Source organism: Homo sapiens, chromosome 2 (assembly GCF_000001405.40).
Source record: "Homo sapiens chromosome 2, GRCh38.p14 Primary Assembly".
Taxonomy (NCBI): domain Eukaryota; kingdom Metazoa; phylum Chordata; class Mammalia; order Primates; family Hominidae; genus Homo; species Homo sapiens.
The window spans coordinates 47,674,063-47,694,207 of record NC_000002.12 but is presented as its reverse complement, the minus strand read 5'-3'; the positions used below and the strand labels follow the sequence as shown (position 1 = coordinate 47,694,207).

The window sequence follows — 20,145 nt, the reverse complement described above, 5'->3', positions numbered from 1 at the left end:
CTCCTTCTGCTTATCAGGGTCACTTTGTATATATGACCCTTTCACAAGACACCAGTTAATGTGACTTTAGCAGTCTTTTGGTTTATATTTAATTTTTTTTTTAGACCAAGTCTTGCTCTGTCACCCAGACTGGAGTGCAGTGCTCACTGCAACCTTCACCTTCTGGGTTCAAGGAATTCTCCTGCCTCAGCCTCCAGAGTAGCTGGGATTACAGGGGTGCACCGCCACGCCCAGCTAATTTTTTGTATTTTTAGTAGACACAGGGTTTCACCATGTTGGCCAGGCTGGTCTCAAATTCCTAACCTCAGGTGATCCATCCGCCTCAGCCTTCCAAAGTGTTGGGATTACAGGCGTGAGCCACTGCGCCTGGCCAAGGACTAGTTTAATATTGTTGGTTTAATAAAAAAAAGAACTATGTCTTTTGACTTATCAGCAAACTATACATGTATTTAACTTCAAAGTTCTTGCTTTTTTGATACTTGCCTAACATATAAAAATAGTTAATAAAAAATTTAACTTGAGATAATGACTAGATTTGTTTCATGTCTCATACAATTTTTCAAACACAATTGTTAAGAATAAATAAATGTCAATGAGATAAAAGTTTACAAATGGACTTTCTTTTTTTGAGACAAGGTCTTGCTTTGTTGCCCAGGCTGGAGTGCAGTGGTATGAACATACCTTACTGCAGCCTCAACCTCCGGGGCTCAAGCAATCCTCCTGCCTTAGCTTCCCAATGTGTTGGGATTATAGGCATGAACCACCTTGCCTGGCCTACAATGAACTTTTAATAATAGTTATGTTTTATAATGTGTTTTCTTAAAAAGGTTTCTCAGAGGCAAGCGTGGTGGCATACGCCTGTAGTTTCAGCTACTCAAGAGGCTGAGGTGGGAGGATCATTTGATTCCAGGAGTTTTAGTCCAGCTTAGACAGCAAAGTGAGACCCCTGTCTCCTATACAGAGAGAGAAAGAAAGAGTTAAAAAAAAGTTTCTAAAATCTTTTTGGTAACTCTATACCCTTAGAGTTTTGCTGAGACAAATTAAATAATACATATTTTTAGCTGGGCTTGGTGGTGCATGCCTGTAGTCCCAGCTACTTGGAAGGCTGAGGTGGGAGGATCAATTGAACCTGGGAGGTCAAGGCTGCAGTGAACTGTGATGACATCACTGCACTCAGCCTGGGCAACAGAGTGAGACCCTGTCTCAAAAAGATAAAAAAATTAGGGTCAGGTGTGGTGGCTCACGCCTGTAATCCCAGCACTTTGGGAGGCTGAGGTTGGTGGATTAACTGAGATAAAGATTTCGAGACCAGCCCAGCCAATATGGCAAAACCCCATCTCTACTAAAAATACACAAATTAGCTGGGCTTGGTGTTGGGCACCTGTAATCCCAGCTGCTAGGGAGGCTGAGGCAGGAGAATCAATTGAACCCGGGAGGCAGAGGTTGCAGCGAGCTGAGATCACACCACTGTACTCCAGCCTGGGCGACAGAGCAAGACTCCATCTCAAAAAAAAAAAAAAAACCAAGGAAAAAAAAACAACAGATATCCAGCCATGGGCAACATGACAAAACCCCCTCTCTACAGAAAATGAGCCAGGCATGGTGCCACATGCCTATAGTCCCAGCTACTCAGGAGGCTGAGATGGGAGGATCACCTGAGCCCAGAAGGCTGAGGCAGCAGTGAGCTGAGATTGCACCACTGCACTCTAGTCTGAGTGACAGAGAGAGAGAGACTCAGTCTCAATACATAAATAAATACATAAATAAAAAGAAATTTAAGAAATAAAAGGAATGATAGATAAAATGGAATGCATATAAAAAGCTAAAAGAAAGAGAATGAAAAAAATTATAAGAGGTTCTAAAAGGTTTATGGAACTCTTATTGTGTATGGTCAAACTGATTGAATTTGGGTGAATTTGTTATAAGGTTTTGTTAAAATTAGCTTTGCCATTAATAATACACTGATGCAAAGGTAGAATTTTGAAAAAGATTTTCATCTAGTATTAATAAGGGGTAATAATAGATTTTTGTTTACTTTTAAGTATACTGAAAAAAATGAGGGGAGAGGGAGAGACAGACTTTGTTTGCCTCATGCTGTCTTTATTAGGTCTTTTGATTGTTGGGAAAATGAGACTCTTCTCTATCAAAGAGTAAAGTTTTTGCTTTTTGAAATCTTTGAATTATCACTTTGGCTCAATGAATGATTATTATTTTACAGTGACCTGTGATCCTATTTTGATAAAATGTTTTAAACCTTTCATATTTAACAAACTTCCTAAAATTAAATTTCAAGTTCCAAAAAGAGCCGCTGGAAGTTCAAGAGAGACACACTAAGTTTATTTTGTATGTAAATGTCACACAGGAAGCATTGTCAAGTAAGAAATGGCGTTTAACTTTCTCTGAGTTCTATTTGTATAAATGTGTTGTTAATATGTGTTCCAAAATTGTGTGAGATTCCTAAAATTCTGATATGTCTTAGTAAATGTTATCAATTATAATGATTATTATGTTAAATTTTTGTACGTCACAGAAATAACCAAATTTTTTTTTTTTTTTTGTCAATCACATCTTTTCTTTCTTTCTTTCTTTTTTTTTTTTTTTTTTGAGACAGTTTCACTTTTGTTGCCCAGGCTGGAGTGCAGTGGTGCGATCTCAGCTCACCGCAACCTCCGTCTCCCAGGTTCAAGCAATTCTCCTGCCTCAGTCTCCTGAGTAGCTGGGATTACAGGCACAAGCCACCACGCCTGTCTAATTTTATATTTTTAGCAGAGACGGGGTTTTATCATGTTGGCCAGGCTGGTCTCAAACTCTTGACCTCAGGTGATACACCCGCCTCAGCCTCCTGAAGTGCTGGGATTATAAGCGTGAGCCACCGCGCCCAGCCGTTCCTGTTGTTTTTATGTTACAAAATTTATCAGCAAGTCTCCTTTTGCGGGTGGCGGCGAACGCGGAGAGCACGCCATGAAGGCCTCGGGCACACTACGAGAGTACAAAGTAGTGGGTCGCTGCCTGCCCACCCCCAAATGCCACACACCACCCCTCTACCGCATGCGAATCTTTGCGCCTAATCATGTCGTCGCCAAGTCCCGCTTCTGGTACTTCGTATCTCAGTTAAAGAAGATGAAGAAGTCTTCAGGGGAGATTGTCTACTGTGGGCAGGTGTTTGAGAAGTTCCCCTTGCGGGTGAAGAACTTCGGGATCTGGCTGCGCTATGACTCCCGGAGCGGCACCCACAACATGTACCGGGAATACCGGGACCTGACCACCGCAGGCGCTGTCACCCGGTGCTACCGAGACATGAGCGCCCGGCACGGCGGCCGGGCCCACTCCATTCAGATCATGAAGGTGGAGGAGATCGCGGCCAGCAAGTGCCGCCGGCCGGCTGTCAAGCAGTTCCACGACTCCAAGATCAAGTTCCCGCTGCCCCACCGGGTCCTGCGCCGTCAGCACAAGCCACGCTTCACCACCAAGAGGCCCAACACCTTCTTCTAGGTGCAGGGCCCTCGCCCGGGTGTGCCCCAAATAAACTCAGGAACGCCCCAGAAAAAAAAATTTATCAGCAAGAAAATAATTTAAGATGATGGCTAGCTGTTTATGTCTCATGGAATTTTTATGATTAATCCAAGCAAGATTGTTTAAAAACAGCTGAGTTAATTTATAAGCTTCTATCTCACATCTGTTTATCTTTTCACCAATCATTATGTTTTGTAATATGTTTATTTAAAAATAATTCTCCAGGCTGAGCATGGTGGCTCATACCTCATGCTTGTAACTCCAGCACTTTAGGAGGCCAAGGTGGGAGGATTGCTTGAGCCCAGGAGTTTGAGACTGCCTGGGCAACACAGTTGGAACCTGTGTCTACAAACAAATTAGTTAGCTGGGCGTGGTGTCATGCACCTGTGGTCCCAGCTACTCAGGAGGCTGTGATAGGAGGATCACTTGAGCATGGAAGGTCAAGACTGCAGTGAGCTGTAATCGTGCCACTGCACTCCACCCTTGGTGACAGAGCAAGACCCTGTCTCAAAAAATGATGAGAATTATAATAATTCTACAACTCTCTTTGGTATCTTTCACCCTTAGAGTTTTGCTAAGTTAAATGATGGATATTCATTGCATTCATAGATTATTTCCAAACAAGGAGATATACTGAAGCATTAATTGCCTCACATAAGTATATACTTATCTATTGTTCACTTACTATAGAGGAATGAATGATATTTGGTTAGCAAACATGTCCTGTGCCACATTGAAAAATAGCATTATTTAAAAAAATAAGCAAAAACACCTCTATGTGCATATTTGGTAAGAAAAGTAGGATGTATTTTTGAAAAGAAAAAATATGAGGCATGAAGATGCGTTTTGGCTGAGGAAAAGGAGAGTAATTCAGTTTGGAAGTCCCTCCCCTATAGCATGGGAAATGCTCCCAAAGAGGCATTTCCTCTGCAGAGGTGGGCACTCAAAAACAAAGGAAGTCGCTCAGCCTAGACAGTCTCTGAGATGTAAATGACTCACTTCTGATGAGGAGGCGTCCAAATAACTGATCCTTCCAGACCACTGCTCTTCCCTTAACTCTTCATCATTTATTCTTTATTTATTTTTTTTATTTTTATTTTTTGAGACAGAGTCTCGCTCTGTTGCCCAGGCTGGAGTGCAGTGGTGCGATCTCAGCTCACTGCAACCTCGGCCTCCTGGGTTCAAGCGATTCTCCTGCCTCAGCTTCCTGAGTAGCTGGGATTACAGGCGCCCACCACCATGGCTGACTAATTTTTGTATTTTTAGTAGAGACAGGGTTTTATCATGTTGGCCAGGCTGGTCTCAAACTCCTGACCTCAAGTGATTTCCCCTACTCCTGCCCCCGCTTCCTCTGCACACATTGGCCTCCCAAAGTGCTGAGATTATAGTGAGCCACCACACCTGGCCATTCATTCTTCATTCAACAGGTAATCAGTAGCAGGAAATGGCCTAAACAGGGGTGTCCGAGAGAGAACACAGCCATGGGTTCTTAGTTTCTGTTTCTGGCTGGGCTAACAAAGCCCCTTCTTTATCTCTCTTTTCTGCTTTTCACTAGAGACAGAAACTAAAAACCATGGCTTCAGGTTGCTAAAAGCCTAAAACAAAACAAAACAGAACATGAACAACAAAATAAGGTGGGTTGGATGAGCTTGGCCTGCAGGGTGGAATTGGTGGATGTACTGAGGAATGGAACCGGAAGTCTGTGCTGGTTATTGGTATTTTGCCTGTCAGCTCCAAAGCCATTCTTTTTTGCCTGCTCTGTGAAAACGTATCTGGGCCTTTTAAGTATTTCTTTATTTTGTTCCTTTGCCATCTGGCACTTAATTGTCAGTAGAGGCCAGGGAAGAATGAGTGCAGGAGGAAAAGGGTTTTGCTTCCTGGTTCCATTGCCAGCTCTGCAGGCCCCTGCGGTGTGCGAGGCCTGCCCCAGCACCAGGCTTCTGCGGTGGATGTGGTTTCCCAGTGCCTCACGCCAGCAGCAAGGGTGGCTTCTCCAGCACAGCTCCTTCAGTGCTTGAAGCTTCTCCAGACTCCAGCAGCACAGCTGGATTCCTCAGTATCTGTCTCTTGCAATGTGTAATCAGCAGCACCTAGTACAGTAGCTTTCCCCTGTATCCAATTCTGATGGTTTTGTAGCGAACTGTCTGCACTGAGTTACTTCCCTGTGAACAGCCTTCTCCCCAGCACCCCAGAAGACAGATTTCTAGCATGTTCCACTGGCATGGCACCTCAGTGAGGTCTCTGATATTTAGTGAGTCACAGCCATGCTTCTCCAGCAAGGCCTATATCTCAGCCCAAGGGTAAGTACTACATCTCAGCCCTGGGGTGGTGGCTTTTTATATTATATTTGTCATGCACATCCATGTAAAGAGACCACCAAACAGGCTTTGTGTGAGCAATAAAGCTTTTTAATCACCTGGGTGCAGGTGGGCTGAGTCCAAAAAGAGAGTCAGCAAAGGGACTTAGGGATGGGGCAGTTTTATAGGATTTGGGTAGGTAGTGGAAAATTATAGTCAAAGGGGGTCTCAAGGTGCTCAGTGGGGGAGCTTCTGAGCCAAGAGAAGGAATTTCATAAGGTAATGTCATCAGTTAAGGCAGGAACCGGCCATTTTCACTTCTTTTGTGATTCTCCAGTTGCCTCAGGCCATCTGGATGTATAAGCACAGGCTTGGGCTCAGAGGCCTAAGAATATTAATCTGCCATTATCACATCAATTATATCTGCTATTCCTATATTCTTTTTTATTCTTTTTATTTCTTACTACCCCACCTCTGGTTACTCTGTCTAATTCCATGTTATGGTTAGTAATTCTTTGTTTTTTGTTTTTTGTGTTTTTTTTTTGAGACGAAGTCTCACTCTTGTCCCCCAGGCTGGAGTGCAATGGTGCAATCTCAGCTCACTGCAACCTTCCCTTCTCGGGTTCAAGCGATTCTCCTGCCTCAGCCCCCCTGAGCAGCTGAGACTACAGGCGCCTACCACCATGCCCAGCTAATTTTTGTATTTTTAGTAGAGACGGGGTTTCACCATGTTGGCCAGGCTGGTCTCGAACTCCTGACCTCAGGTGATCCACCTGCCTCGGCCTCCCAAAGTACCAGGATTACAGGCATAAGCCATCGTGCCCAGCCTATGGTTAATAATTCTTTATATTAAACTTTTTCTATTTGAACTACTGTTTTTTTTCTCTCTTGATGGGACTCAGACTGATACATTTATTCATTCTGGCCAAAGACAATAAGACATGGGTTTTGGATGGGTGTGGGCTTATGCCTGTAATCCCAGCACTTTGGGAGGCCAAGGTGGAATGTTTGCTTGAGTCCAGGAGTTCACAACCATTAATTAATGAGTTAAATAAAATCTTTGACATCTGTTTGTTTTATATTTGTATGAGTATCATCATTTTACCTTTAAAAAAAATCTTTCAGCAGCGACCAGCAATAGAATCCCACAAAGAGAATGGCTTAATCATTTGGGGAGGACCATACAGAAGGAGAGGCAGGGCAACATAGTGAGATCCTGTCTCTACAAAAAATTTAAAAATTAGCTGGGCATGATGGCGTGCACATGTAGTCCCCAGCTACTCGGGAGGCTGAGGTGGGAGGATCACCTGAGCTCAGGAGGTTGAGGCTGCAGTGAGCCATGATCGCATCACTGCACTCTAGTCTGGGTGACAGAGTGAGACCTTGTGTTAAACAAACAAACAAACAAACAAAACCAGGGGTCATGTCCCACAAGAGCTCATAGTCGAGTGGGTGGAGGAACAAGAAAACAGATAACAGTGTAAGGAAATACAAGGGGCTATAACTGAGATATGACTACAACCTATGGAGGTCCAGCAAGGGAGCAGAAGGAGCTGAGAAGGTTTTGCCTTTTTTTAAATAAAAAAAAAATGTTTTTGGCCAGGTGCAGTGGTGTCGGTAATCCTAGCACTTTGGGAGGCCAAGACGGGCAGATCACCTGAGCTCAGGACTTCAAGACCAGCCTGGCCAAAATGGTGAAGCCCCATCTGTACTAAAAACACAAAAAATTAGCTGGGCATGATGGCGGCGGGGGTTGGGGGTTCCTGAGAGAGAAGAATCACTTGAACTCAGGAGACGGAGGTTGCAGTAAGCCCAGATCATGCCACTGCACTCCAGCCTGGGTGACAGAGCAAGACTGTCTCAAAAAAAAAATTTTTTTAAATTTAGACACAGGTTCTCACTATATTGCCCAGGCTGGTCTTGAACACCTGGGCTCAAGAGGTCCTCCAGCCTTAGCCTCCCAAAGTGCTGGGATTACAGGCATTAGCCACCGCAGCAGCCCAAGGTTTTGCTCTAATTCCTGCTGTTATGACTAGGGCAGCTGGAGAGCCCATGAGGAAAAGAACCAGAGACCAGCTTGTGAGGGTGGTAGAAGCTTGATAATGTCCCGGTGGCCATGTGGTTTCTGGCCTGTTTTCAATTGAAGGTGTCAGAAAAAATTGTGAAAGACGTTGGAATATGGAGAAATTTCCGGATGTCCTATGTCCTGTGCCAGGTACTCTTCCAGGTTCTGTAAGTGTTTCATTTTCTGACCTGAGAGTACTGCAAGTGATCCTTGTCCATAGAAATGCCAATGAACTTTGCCCAGCGGAATACATACAGACATTGACCAATTTTGCTTGTTTTTGGAAATTCATTTTAGTATTCCATTTGCCTATGTGTATGCGTGTTCTTTGACTTCTCCTTTGAATCATTTCTACCATCCTACTGCTTCTCTCATTAATTAATGAGTTAAATAAAATATTTGACAACTGTTTATTTTATGTTTGTATGAGTATCATGATTTTACCTTTAAAAAAATCTTTCAACAGTGACCAGCAATAGAACCCTCAAAAGAGAATGGCTTAATCATTCTGGGAGGACAATGCAGAAGGAGAGGCTGAGAGAAGCTGAGTGTGAAAGAAAATACCAGGGGTCAGATTAATCTGAATACGCATTCTTTAGTGAGCACCTACTGTAAACCCTGAACCCAATATAGGGAGGAGGCTGTGGCCCTGAGTGCACCGAGCCCAGGTCAGTGGCTCAGGACTCACCCTGCAGGAGACTAGCCCTTGAGCCTCCCATTCACGCTGTCTCCTCCTCCCAATGTCTGAGAGGGTCAGATGTGGGGTAACTGGAGCCTGTCAGTGGTGCTGGAAGAAGGAAACCTCTGCTGGAAGCACCACTTTTCTTTCTTTTTTTTTTTTTTTTTTTTGAGACAGAGTCTAGCTCTGTTGCCCAGGTTGGAATGCAGGGCGCAATCTCGGCTCACTGCAACCTCCGCCTCCCGGATTCAAGCCATTCTCCTACCTCAGCCTCCCGAGTAGCTGGGACTACAGGCGCCTGCCACCACGCCCAGCTAATTTTTGTATTTTTAGTAGAGACGGGGTTTCACCGTATTGGCCAGGATTGTCTCGATCTCCTGACCTCATGATCCACCCGCCTCGGCCTCCCAATGTGCTAGGATTACATGCGTGAGCCACCATGCTCGGCCAAATCACCACTTTTCTAATAAAGAGGCCACTTTAATCTCAGAAACAAGATAGAGACAGTATGCTTGTCCAGAAAAGCTGTCCACAGGGACAGATTCCCCATTCCTGAGCAAGTTTGTTCTAATAAAAATAGAGGCAGCAGTTATTGGACACATTAATTTCCCTAATGGATTCTCTTTGGTTTCAAGGCTGGGCCTTTGCTGCTGTGTCCCAGAGCTGAAACTCTGGTGGATGGTGCCAGGCTGACGTGGATACTCTGGAGAGCTGATGGTGCTTGGGCAAGGCCAGGAGGAAGTTGGGGGGATGCCCAGGGTCTTGCAGGCAGGGCAGAGCACCCAGTGGACTTCCTCACATGGTTTTTGGGGGATGCTTTCGGGGCAGACAATCTTCTCTAGGCAAGTTGAGCAATGCATTGGATCTCGCTGGCTTGGTTATTACCTTCCTTTTGAGAGACTAAGTGAAGAGAAAAATACTTGTTCTTTTTCCTGAGCATAAAAGATGTGTTCAGAGGGAAGAACTATTGGTACTCACCCCTACCACCTGCTAAATCTTAACTGAGATGGATTACCTATAGGTGAAGATAGGGTGAGAACCCAGGGGCTGTGGGAAATGGAGGGGAGTAGGGGAGTGTTGAACATCTTGGGATCTGGGATATCTCTACAAGAACTAGGCCATGTGAGGAGAGGTGGGCAGCCCTAGAAGCCTGAAATTTCACAGAATCCAAAGTATATTTGCTGTTTATATATAATTTTATATATGACATATAATTTTATATATATAAAATTTTAAAAAAGAAAAACTAAAAAAAGGCAAATATATATATATATAAAGAAAAACTAAAAAAGGCAAATATATATATATATATTTGAAACCTCTAAATATGGCCAAGATTACTGTCTTTACTGTTTTTGTTGTTTGGGGTTTTTTATTTATTTTATTTATTTTTTATTTTTTTGAGATAGAGTCTCACTCTGTTGCCCAGGCTGGAGTGCAATGGCACAATCTTGGCTCACTGCAAGCTCCGCCTCCTGGGTTCATGTCATTCTCCTGCCTCAGCCTCCAGAGTAGATGGGCCTACAGGCGCCTGCCACCACGCCTGGCTAATTTTTTTTTTGTATTTTTAGTAGAGACGGGGTTTCACTGTGTTAGCCAGGATGGTCTCAATCTCCTGACCTTGTGATCCACCTGCCTTGGCCTCCCAAAGTGTTGGGATTACACGCGTGAGCCATCGCGCCCGGCCTGCTTGGGGTTTTTTAAATGCTTTTTTTTTTTGGTGTTTTTTTTTTCTATTCACTACCTGTACTTTTAAGCATTATTTTATTAAGGTGAATATGGTATGCCTTTGTTTGGTTTTGCTATTTACTATTAACGGCTCAGATTCTGTGAAGTAGCATATTAACCTGAAGATTTGAGTGTTACAGAAATGCATGTGATTTATGTATACAATAAAAGATAACCCCAAAGCTTTCAATTTACTGTTCTATAGGGTATTAACATATATATATATAAAATATATATGCAATCTTATTTTAATGTTTCTTTATTAAATTGCCTATAAATACCCAACTTCTCAAATGCTGCTTTTAAGTAACTTCATAATTTGAGGTAATTATAGATTCACATGCACTTATAAGAAATAATAGAGACCCTGTGTATCCTTTACTCAGTTTCTTCTAACAATAACATTTCACACAACTGTAATGCATGATCACAACCAGGTTTGACCTTGATACAGTCAAGATGCAGAGCAAGTTCATCACCACAAGGATGCCTCATCTTGTCCTTTTACAGCCTTACTCACTTCCCTCCCCTCTACCTTAACAAAGACTTTCTACTTGACCAAACTTTAGTCAGTCAGGCTCTTTTTTTTTTTTTTTTTTTTTTTTGAGATGGAGTCTGGCTTTGGCTTTGTCACCCAGGCTGGAGGGCAATGGCACGATCTTGGCTCACTGCAACCTCCACCTGCCGGGTTCAAGCAATTCTCCTGCCTCAGCCTCCCGAGTAGCTCGGACTACAGGCATGCGCCACCATGCCCAGCTAATATTTTGTATTTTTAGTAGAGATGGGGTTTCACCGTGTTGGCCAGGCTGGTCTCGAACTCCTGAGCTCAGGTGATCTGCCCGCCTTGGCCTCCCCAAGTGCTGAGATTACAGGCGTGAGCCACCGTGCTTGGGCTAGTCAGGCTCTTCTGAGCTGTCTTCTCAACTAGTCTTCAACCATTGGGCTTCCCTGTCCATCTTTGCCTTGCCCAGTTTTAGCAAGAGTCCTGCTAAATTGGTTTAGCCAGAACCCCTACCCTCCATATCTGACCACATTTCCCATTCTCCACCACTCCCCAGGTGACATCTGGTCACCCTGGTCGGTCTCCATCAAGAATCCTGTAAGGTCTTTTTAACCAGAATCCCCTTGACTCTTTTTTTTTTTTTTGATACAGAATTTCCCTCTTGTCACCCAGGCTGGAGTGCAATGGTGCAATCACTGCAGCCTCTGCCTCTCAGATTCAAACCATTCTCCTGCCTCAGCCTCCTGAGTAGCTGGGATTACAGGTGCCCGTCACCACGCCCAGCTAATTTTTATTTTTTTAGTAGGGACGGGGTTTCACCATGTTGGCCAGGCTGGTCTCAAACTCAGGTGATCTGCCTGCCTCGGCCTCCCAAAGTGCTGTGATTACAGGCGTGAGCCACCGCGCCCAGCCTCCCTTGACTCTTGTTATTTTCTCTTAGTAATTTTTGATCCACTGACCTCCTACTCTGCTCTTTAGCTATAAATCTCCAGTTGTTCATGTTGTATTTGGAATTCAGCCCAGTTCTATACTGAGGTATCTTTCCTGCATTGTAATAGTCCTAGATACAATCTGTTTTTACTGCTCTATCATCTAGCTCTGATTTTCTTCCTCTCTCTCTCTTTCTCTCTCTCTTTAAGAGACATGGTCTTGCTCCATCTCCCAGGCTGGAGTACAGTGTCACCATCATAGCTCACTGCAGCTTCGAACTCCTGGGCTCAAGTGATCTTCCTGCCTCAGCCTCCCGAGTAGCTAGGACTACAGACTTGCAGATCTGCACCCAGCTTATTTTTATTTTTATTTTTTCTTTTGGTGAAGAGGAGTTTTGCAGTATTGCCCAGGCTGGTCTCAAACTCCTGGCCTCAAGCGATCCTCCTGGCCTCAAGCGATCCTCCTGGCCTCAAGCAGTCAAAGTGCTGGGATTACAGGTGTGAGCCACCATGCCTGGTCCTAAAATTGGTCTTTTGAGATGTTTTCCAGACTTTTGCATTCTGGTAACAGACTGACCACACCTGGACCTGTGACTCATAACTCAACTGGTCCTGTGGCCCCCACCCAGAGGCAGATGCAACATATGGGGACCATTTTCCTCACTTCTCTGATATTTAATTTCCAGCCAATCAGCAGCATTCCCTAGCCCTATGGCCACAAAATTTTCCATAAAATCTCTGGCCTCTGAGTTCTTGGGGAGACTGATTTGAGTAATAATTCCAGTCCTGCCACTTGGTGGCCTTACATTAATTAAACTCTTTACTGAAATGCTATGGTCTCTGTGAATTGGTTTCATCTGTGCAGTGGGCAGGACAAACCCATCGGGTGATAACAGATGGAGAGAATGAGGCCTAGATGATTTGTAAGAACCTCACAGCCCTGTCATCTCTCAAGTGATGACATACATTTTGAGCTGCTGGTACAGATTGTGGTGGCTTGTAAGGGTGGAAAGTGGGGAGCAGCAATACAGTAACAGGAGAATATAGGACTGACACCAACCACCAGAAACACACCATGAAATCCATGGATGGTTTTAAGGGCCTTGCAACTTGAACAAGCTAATGCTTTAACAGTTTGGCAAGTGAAAGAAAGGCACATTCCCACTGAAGCCTTTGAAATGGCATCTCAGTGGCTTTCCTGAAAACCCTGACATTTTGATGGATTTGAAGTAACAACCGAACATTTAGGGCTGAGGCCCCGACGTACAGCTGCTGTCAACACCCAGGTAGCGATCCCCAAAACCACAGTAAATGTTCACAAGTGTTGTTCAGGGAACATCAGACCTGGAGCTGAGAGATGCATCCACTGCTTCCTTCAGAAAGCCCTCAGAGACCTCTAAGGACATATGCCTTCAGATGGCCCCAATCTCAGGAGCAAGGATCACTACTTTACAACTAACGTAAATGAAACCTGGCTGGGCACAGTGGCTCATGTCTGTAATACCACTTTGGGAAGCCAAGGCGGGCGGATCACCTGAGGTCAGGAGTTTGAGACCAGCCTGGCCAACATGGTGAAACCCCATCTCTACTAAAAATACAAAAAATTAACCAAGTGTGGTGGTGGACATCTGTAATCCCAGCTACTCGGGAGGCTGAGGCAGAAGAATTGCTTGAACCCAGGAGGTGGAGGTTGCAGTGAGCCTAGATCGTGCCACTGCACTCCAGCCTGGGTGAAAGAGTGAGACTCAGTCTCAAAAACTAAATAAATAAAAAATAAACAAAGTAAATGAAACCCAAAGGGTTGAACCCTCACCCTAGAGTAGATAACATATGGAAATAGAAAGCAGGAAAATTAATTTTTTAAGGTCCAGCTTACTTCCTCTATGATGCGTTCCCAGACCACTGTAGATCACAGGGATTCAATCATTTTTGTTTATCAATTTAACAAATGTTGCTTTCCTTTCAAGTGTCAGGGACTATGCTATGATGGAAAATAAGACAGTCCCTCACCCCCAGGATCAACCATTGTGGATGAATGGGCATCCAATGATATTATCATCACCACAATGGCTGTGAGTTACCAGACACTTACCGTAACCCAGGTACTTGCTAAGGTGTTAAGTACATACTTCAGTTATCTTCAAAATACCCAGAGAATATGGAAATAAGTATAACCAAGATATTCTGATTTGTCATTTTGGGTAACAAAATAAGGACACTTCTCTTTTAATATTCAAACTGATATTTCAGAGTTCTCCTGAAGATCCCACCCTTTTGCGATGAGTTCCACAGCCCACTCACTCCCAGGGGTCAGTCCTCACAGAGAAGGGTTGCTTGCTGCTGTCCCTCCCATGCAGGATCACCACTGAAAGTGTTCTGTCCTGCCTGGTCGGACCCTTCCCCGTCTTTGATGGCTGATTCCTGGAGTGCAGCCAGCTCTGTAGGCAGTCACTTTATGGATCTCTCTCCTCACTGTCATGCTCACCTAAGTAGCCAGATGCTACTATAGACTAGACTCCTGGTGTTTGCTTACATAAACATACATGAACATGCATGTATGTACATACCTTTCTATTTTGCCAAGAAAATTGAAGTAAGAACATCTTCAGACTCTCTCATCACTTCAGTTACCCACCTACCTGCATCAGTGCCATGACCTCTGCCTTCCTGGCTATTACTATAGATGAACTGCCTCCGTTTTCATAAAGTTAATCTTCCCTTTCCACTTGTGCCTGAGACCCTGCTCTGCCCATCAATTCAAGAACTCAGCAATGGTTCCTCCTCCCTACATCAGCATACTTTCTTCTTTACTGGATCACTCTCCATAACATACAAATATTATGAAAATAATATGTTCTAACAAATATTATAAATATAATTTCTCAGCTAAAAAAAGTTGCTTTTCTCTCTTGATCCATATCCCCCTTCAACTGCTACCCCATTTTTCTCATTGATTCCTCTCCGTCCATTTTCTTTTGAACCTTCCAATCAGGTTTATACCCCCTCCACTGAATTTTGAGCTTGCCAACGCCCTCCATGTTGCTAAGTTTCGCTCAGTTCTCAGGTTGCATCTTCCTTGACATATCAGGAGTATTCAATGAAGAGCATTTTTTTTTTTTTTTTTTGAGACAGGGTCTTGCTCTGTCACCTAGGCTGAAGTGCAGTGGCGCGATCTCAGCTCACTGAAACCTTCGCCTCCCAGGTTCAAGAGATTCTCATGTCTCAGCCTCCCCAGTAGCTGGGATTACAGGTACCCACCACCACACCAGGCTAATTTTTGTATTTTTAGTAGAAACGGGGTTTCACCATGTTGGCCAGGCTGGTCTCGAACTCCTGAATTCAGATGATCCTCCTGCCTCATCCTCCCAAAGTGCTGGGATTACAGGCGTGAGCCACTGCAACAAAGAAGTTTAATAGGATTACAATGTTTTCAATGCAAGGTTGGCTTAAGAGTTACAATGAACTAACTAGTTAGTTACAGTATGGTTTCCCTCACTATGGCCTGTTTTCTTTCTTTTTTTTTTTTTTTACATCTAGTTTTCATTTTCTTTCCAACTCAAAAGGGTATATTTAACATTCCATCTTAAAATGTGGTAGCTATGAAGTCTTTGTGTGAGAAAGGTAAGAGGGAGATTGATAATGAAAGTCAACCAAAAAAAAAAAAAAAAAAAAAGGAAGAAAGAAAGGAAAAGAAAAGAAAGTCAACAGTAAGAGAAAAGGGGTCTTCCCTGGCACCCTTCAGCCATTTACAGCATTTTACAAAACAATGTAGGCAAGGAAGAAGGCTTAATCCATAATCAGAGAAAATAAAGTTTGCAACTGCCTAGGTTATAGCTGCCTGTCATGGGACTCAGGCTTTTAATCATTCTTTAAAGCTCACAATAATTTATTCTTCCAACAGCTTAGATTTTGAATTTCTTGTTTTCTCAGGACTGGGGTCTGGGAAGGGCTGTGTGCACTGAACAACTCCACAGGAAGGGGCTCTCTTTTCATCATCAACCATGAGAATGGCACCCCCTGGAATGCTGCAATATAGAGGCCTTATATTGAGCTCTCTGCTGATTTCAGCCATTAGGATCATCAAACACTCTTTACCTACCCAGAGTCTAACACCCACCAAGCAACCTCTGGTGACCATTTGGCTTTCCATGTGCTTGTCTCACCTGTCAATCTTTGTGAGCTTGGCTATGTGAGATGATCTGTAGAGACTGATCACTTCTGGGTACACAAGCAATGAATTTCAGGCCTAGGAAATGAAGCACCAGATGGAGATGTGATGCCCTCCCAAAAGTCTTGCCCCCTTTACACCCTTTCCCTGGGTGACTTTTCTCAGTTGGAATTGCTTGCCTCCTTCAAACTGACAACAGATTCAAGGGTTCCTGCAGGAAAATCTCCCAAGTTTGATGCTGTTAGATAATACATCAGCGGTCAGGGAGTCCTCATCAAGTTGAGTCCAGCACTGGCATGGTGTGGAGAAATGGGGATGGGTGGCACAGAGGAAAGAGGGGACATCTCCCTGCCCTCCGGGAGCTCCAGCAGGGAAGGCATTGCTCCTGGCAGACCAGGAGTCACATGTCAGCCTCTTGGGAGGAGATGGGGGTGGGAGGAGAGGATAATAAAGGCAGAGAATATTATTTGTGATAAATGAGATAGTAAGAGTTACCATGCCTTGAATGCTTATTATATGTCACAGACACTAAATGCTCTATGTGAATTTTTCATTTGATGTTCAGAACAACACTGTTTTTCAGGTAAGTAAATAAGGTCCTGAGAGGCTGAGTAATGTGCCCAAGATCACACAGTAAGTAAGGGAGGGAGAAGAACTTGAAACCCAAGCATACTTAGTACCTCTCAGAGATGGAGAAAGTCTCAGAACACCTACTATTCTCCTCTTTGTATAAAACAACACTTTGTGCCATCTGAAGGTATGAGGAATGTTGTGAAGAGGATTGGAAATTGGTGCTAGGATTTTCCACATCTTTTCTGATTTAATTAGTTATGAAATTAGCTTTCTCAAGATACCAAAGCCCCCTCCCCCTTTCCACACTCCACTGCAAACACATACCCTGCTTTTCCCACTATCCATTGGGTGTAGGAAGAGCTTGCTGGAATTTCTAGGAATGTGACACCCTAGGTCAGGACTCACCCTGAGACACTGCAGATGATCGGGGTACCCTGGGATGCTCTGAATGACAGACTGAAACACTTGCTCAAAGGGCTGCAGTACAAAGTCATTTCTTTTTTTTCTTTTCTTTTCTTTTCTTTCTTTTTCTTTCTTTTTTTTTTTTTTTTTTTTGAGACAAGTTCTCACTCTCTTGCCCAGGCTCAAGTGATTCTCCCACCTCAGCCTCCCAAGTAGCTGGGACCACAGGTGCACACCACCACACCCAGCTAATTTTTTGGATTTTTTTTTTGTAGAGACAGGGTTTCACCATGTTGCCCAGGCTCATCTTGAACTTCTGGGTTCAAGCAATCCTCCTGTCTGGGCCTCCCAAAGTCCTGGGATTACAGGTGTGAGCTAATGCACCTGGCCTAAAGTCATTTCTTGGAGTTAAGGCCCCGGTTCTCAACCTAGGCAAGAGTCAGGGTGGGAATGGAGGGGATGTTGCCGGTGTCCACTGAAGAATGACAAGGTTCATAAATTTGGAAAGCAGAGCTTTGTTTCTTATAAAGAGCTGCAGCATGCAGGGTGGCCATTCTGATGGGCTGGGAACTGTAGCCTCTGGCCAGAAGCCAGAAACAGGCACTTTAAGGGAGGGGTAAAGGGAGCAGAAATTTATGCTGAGCAGGGTGGTTGAATATACATATTTAATAAGCTACAAGAGGAGTGATGAACATTTATGAATGGAGAAACCTACACATGCATAACTGAGCTTCATGCCCCTTCATGGGTCACATGTACAAAAAACAGTAGGGTTAGCATGATCTCAGGGTGGAGTTTTCCACTTTCTGATGTCAAAAGGTGAAGCAGAGGACACGAAAACCCTGTCTGCAGCGTCCATAGATGGCCAACACCACTTTGTGGTTAGTGGTCTCTTATCAGGAAGGAATTCTGGCCCATTGCGTGGAAACTGCAAAAGAGAGGGCAGTCATGTGGCTGGTTGAAATCAGCAGTGGAGTGAGTCTTTCAAAAGGGCTGGTTTCTGTTGAACCCTTAGGGAAGAAAGCCTAATGGCAGTAGTGAGGGAGGGGGTATAACGAGGCGTGTCCAGCCCCCCATGCTGCCATGGCCAGGAACTCAGTTTTCAAGGTTTCTCTGCCATCTCCTTGGCCAAGAGGGGGTTCGTTCATTCGGTTGGGGGACTGAGGATTTTATTTTTATTTCCCACCAGATAGATACTTTCAGTATTCCATAAAGCCTAAATGAAATCTTAACATTCCCCAGGATGAGGCTGTCCTGCGAACTGAAGCCCCAGCCTCTTTACTTTGAGCTGGAATTACATCACCTGTGTAACAACCTTGTTCATTTCATACTCACCTGAAGCTGGCTTGGTGACTAGAATGGCTTCTAGGTAAGGAAAACTTGGAAGCAAATTGATTATTAGAAAAAAATCCAGTTTGCCTTCTAGATAAAATCTTCCCAGGTGTCCTTGGTGGGAAAAGGCTGGGAATGGTGCTCAGGGCAGTGACCTGCAGATCCCTAGGTGGAGAATAGCACCCCCATCCCACCCTCCTTCCTTCTTCCCCATCTGCCCTCACTGCCTCCCTGCAACTGAACAGAACCAGCTACCAGGCATCCTTGGCCAGTGTCCAGAGCACATTGATTGACCTCAGGGAAAAAGCTCTGTCTTTTTTCCCCCAGTCATACACCTACAAAGCCCCAGTGCAAGGCCAGCAGAGTGCATTGAGGTAGTTCACATGAAAACAGTAACACTTGTTTGTTTTGCACTTCAAGGTGCAGAAAATCCTTGGCAGCTGGGCCTGGGGGCCTGGGCAGCTCAGAAGAGTGAAGATGTTCTCTTGACTCTGGGACTGGCTGTTCCAGTGGTTTATGGTCTTGCCTCTCAGATAATTGATATCAGGGAGGCTTCTGAGAAGCAGGAGGGAGGACAGGACATGAACTCCCCTCTGGACAGTTCTGCCATGTGTCCAGCTAGGCTCAGCTGCCGGAGGGGGTTGGGTCTAGTTCCTGGCTCCTCTGGTGCAGAGTGAAGGGAGATGGAAGGGAGGAAGGCGTTGCTCAACAAGGAAGAGCCCAGCTCTGGCCAGGCCTTGGCCAGGTGCTAAGGAAGGAGATGGGCTCCTGCCCTTGCCAGTTCCTTCAGTCTGGTCTGGGATTTGGATGTTTGGGATGACAATCCCATATCTTGAGTACTAGATGTGACAGGTTAAGACTGAGGCTTTAATCATTTTAAGAAATGGGCTTTTCCTGTCTGTGTGGTGATAGAGGGTGACATTTAATAATGTTGAAGGGAACATAGAGGCTCAGCTTTCCTGTGGTGAAGCCAGGCTTGATCCACTGTGAATAAGGCAAGAGAGATTCAAACTGAAACATGGTACATTTAAGTTAAACACAGGGATGAGCTTTCTCCAGGGGCCATTCAAAATAGTCCAGATTCTCCTGGCTTAGAAGGACCAGCACACGTCTCAATGGAATGGTCAAAGTCTTCCTACAATCTGGCCCCACTAACCCTCTGCAATCTGGGCCTCTAAGCCAGGCTCACTTCTTATCCTGCCTCACTCTAGAATGTTCACTGTTCTGGTCCCTGATTCTCTATATCCTACTCATCTGGAGGCTAAGTTATGTGCCCTCTTCCAAGAAGCTCTTTTTTTTTTTTTTTCCAGACAGGGTCTCACTCTGTCACCCAGGCTGGAGTGCAGCAACACAATCATGGCTCACTGCAGCCTCGATCTGCTGGGCTCTGGTGATCCTCGCTCCTCAACCTCCTGAGTAGCTGGGACTGAAAGCGTATACCACCGTGCCTAGCTAACTTTTTTTTAGAATTTTTTTGTAGAGATGGAGTCTCACTATGTTGTCCAGGCTGGTCTTCAAATCCCGGCCTCAAGTGATCCTCCTACCTCAGCCTCCCAGAGAGTTGGGATTACAGGGATGAGCCGTCATGCCTGGCCTCCAAGAAGCTCTTAACAGCAGACACTGTTGGTTATCTGTTAGGCAACCACTCCCCATATCAGTTCAGATGATGTTCAACAATAGTTCAGATGAGAGTAACAACAACAACAACAACACAGCAAACAGTGATGGCATAAACCAACGAGAAATTATGTCCCTTTCTCTCTCAAGAAGTTGGGAGGTTGGCAGTCCGGGGGCTGCTAGAGCACTCCATGGTGCCAGGCGCTCAGGGTCCTTCTAGCTCTGGCATCTGTCATCTTTAGGGTGTGGTCTAAGGTGGTTTTCATGTTCCGTGGAACAAGCCAGATGGAGAGGACATTGAGAAAGGTCAAAGAGGACGAGCTAGCAGCCCTGTAAAGCA

The 20,145-nt window shown here is 44.6% G+C and overlaps 1 protein-coding gene and 1 pseudogene across 18 annotated transcripts in view, besides 1 other annotated feature; one reads left to right on the top strand and one right to left on the bottom strand.

The window, feature by feature from the left end:
* Positions 1–20,145, bottom strand: part of MSH2 (mutS homolog 2) — a 306,764-nt gene that overhangs the window by 15,623 nt on the left and 270,996 nt on the right. For 7 of the 18 annotated variants that reach the window (NR_176244.1, NR_176248.1, NR_176245.1 and 4 more), the window contains 2 exons: positions 15,877–15,959; positions 14,988–15,108 (listed from right to left, as the gene is read on the bottom strand). The exons of 1 other annotated variant lie outside the window; for it this stretch is intronic. Coding sequence is in view for 5 of the 17 variants with exons in the window: in NM_001406633.1 (NP_001393562.1) it covers positions 15,926–15,959 (34 nt within the window). In the remaining 12 variants the exon portion in view is untranslated. Of the gene's footprint in view, positions 1–14,987; positions 15,109–15,876; positions 15,960–17,504; positions 17,785–20,145 lie in introns of those variants that run through there. 10 more of the 18 variants (NR_176242.1, NM_001406635.1, NM_001406640.1 and 7 more) reach the window with 3 other exon arrangements.
* Positions 2,580–3,246: an enhancer, noted in NCBI's record as "H3K27ac-H3K4me1 hESC enhancer chr2:47918101-47918767 (GRCh37/hg19 assembly coordinates)". NCBI's record gives its function as "activates a minimal SCP1, AML or CMV promoter by ChIP-STARR-seq in primed H9 embryonic stem cells {active_cell/tissue: H9 hESC(primed)}" and the evidence as "EXISTENCE:reporter gene assay evidence [ECO:0000049][PMID:30033119]".
* RPL18AP6 (ribosomal protein L18a pseudogene 6) lies at positions 2,925–3,541 on the top strand (annotated as a pseudogene).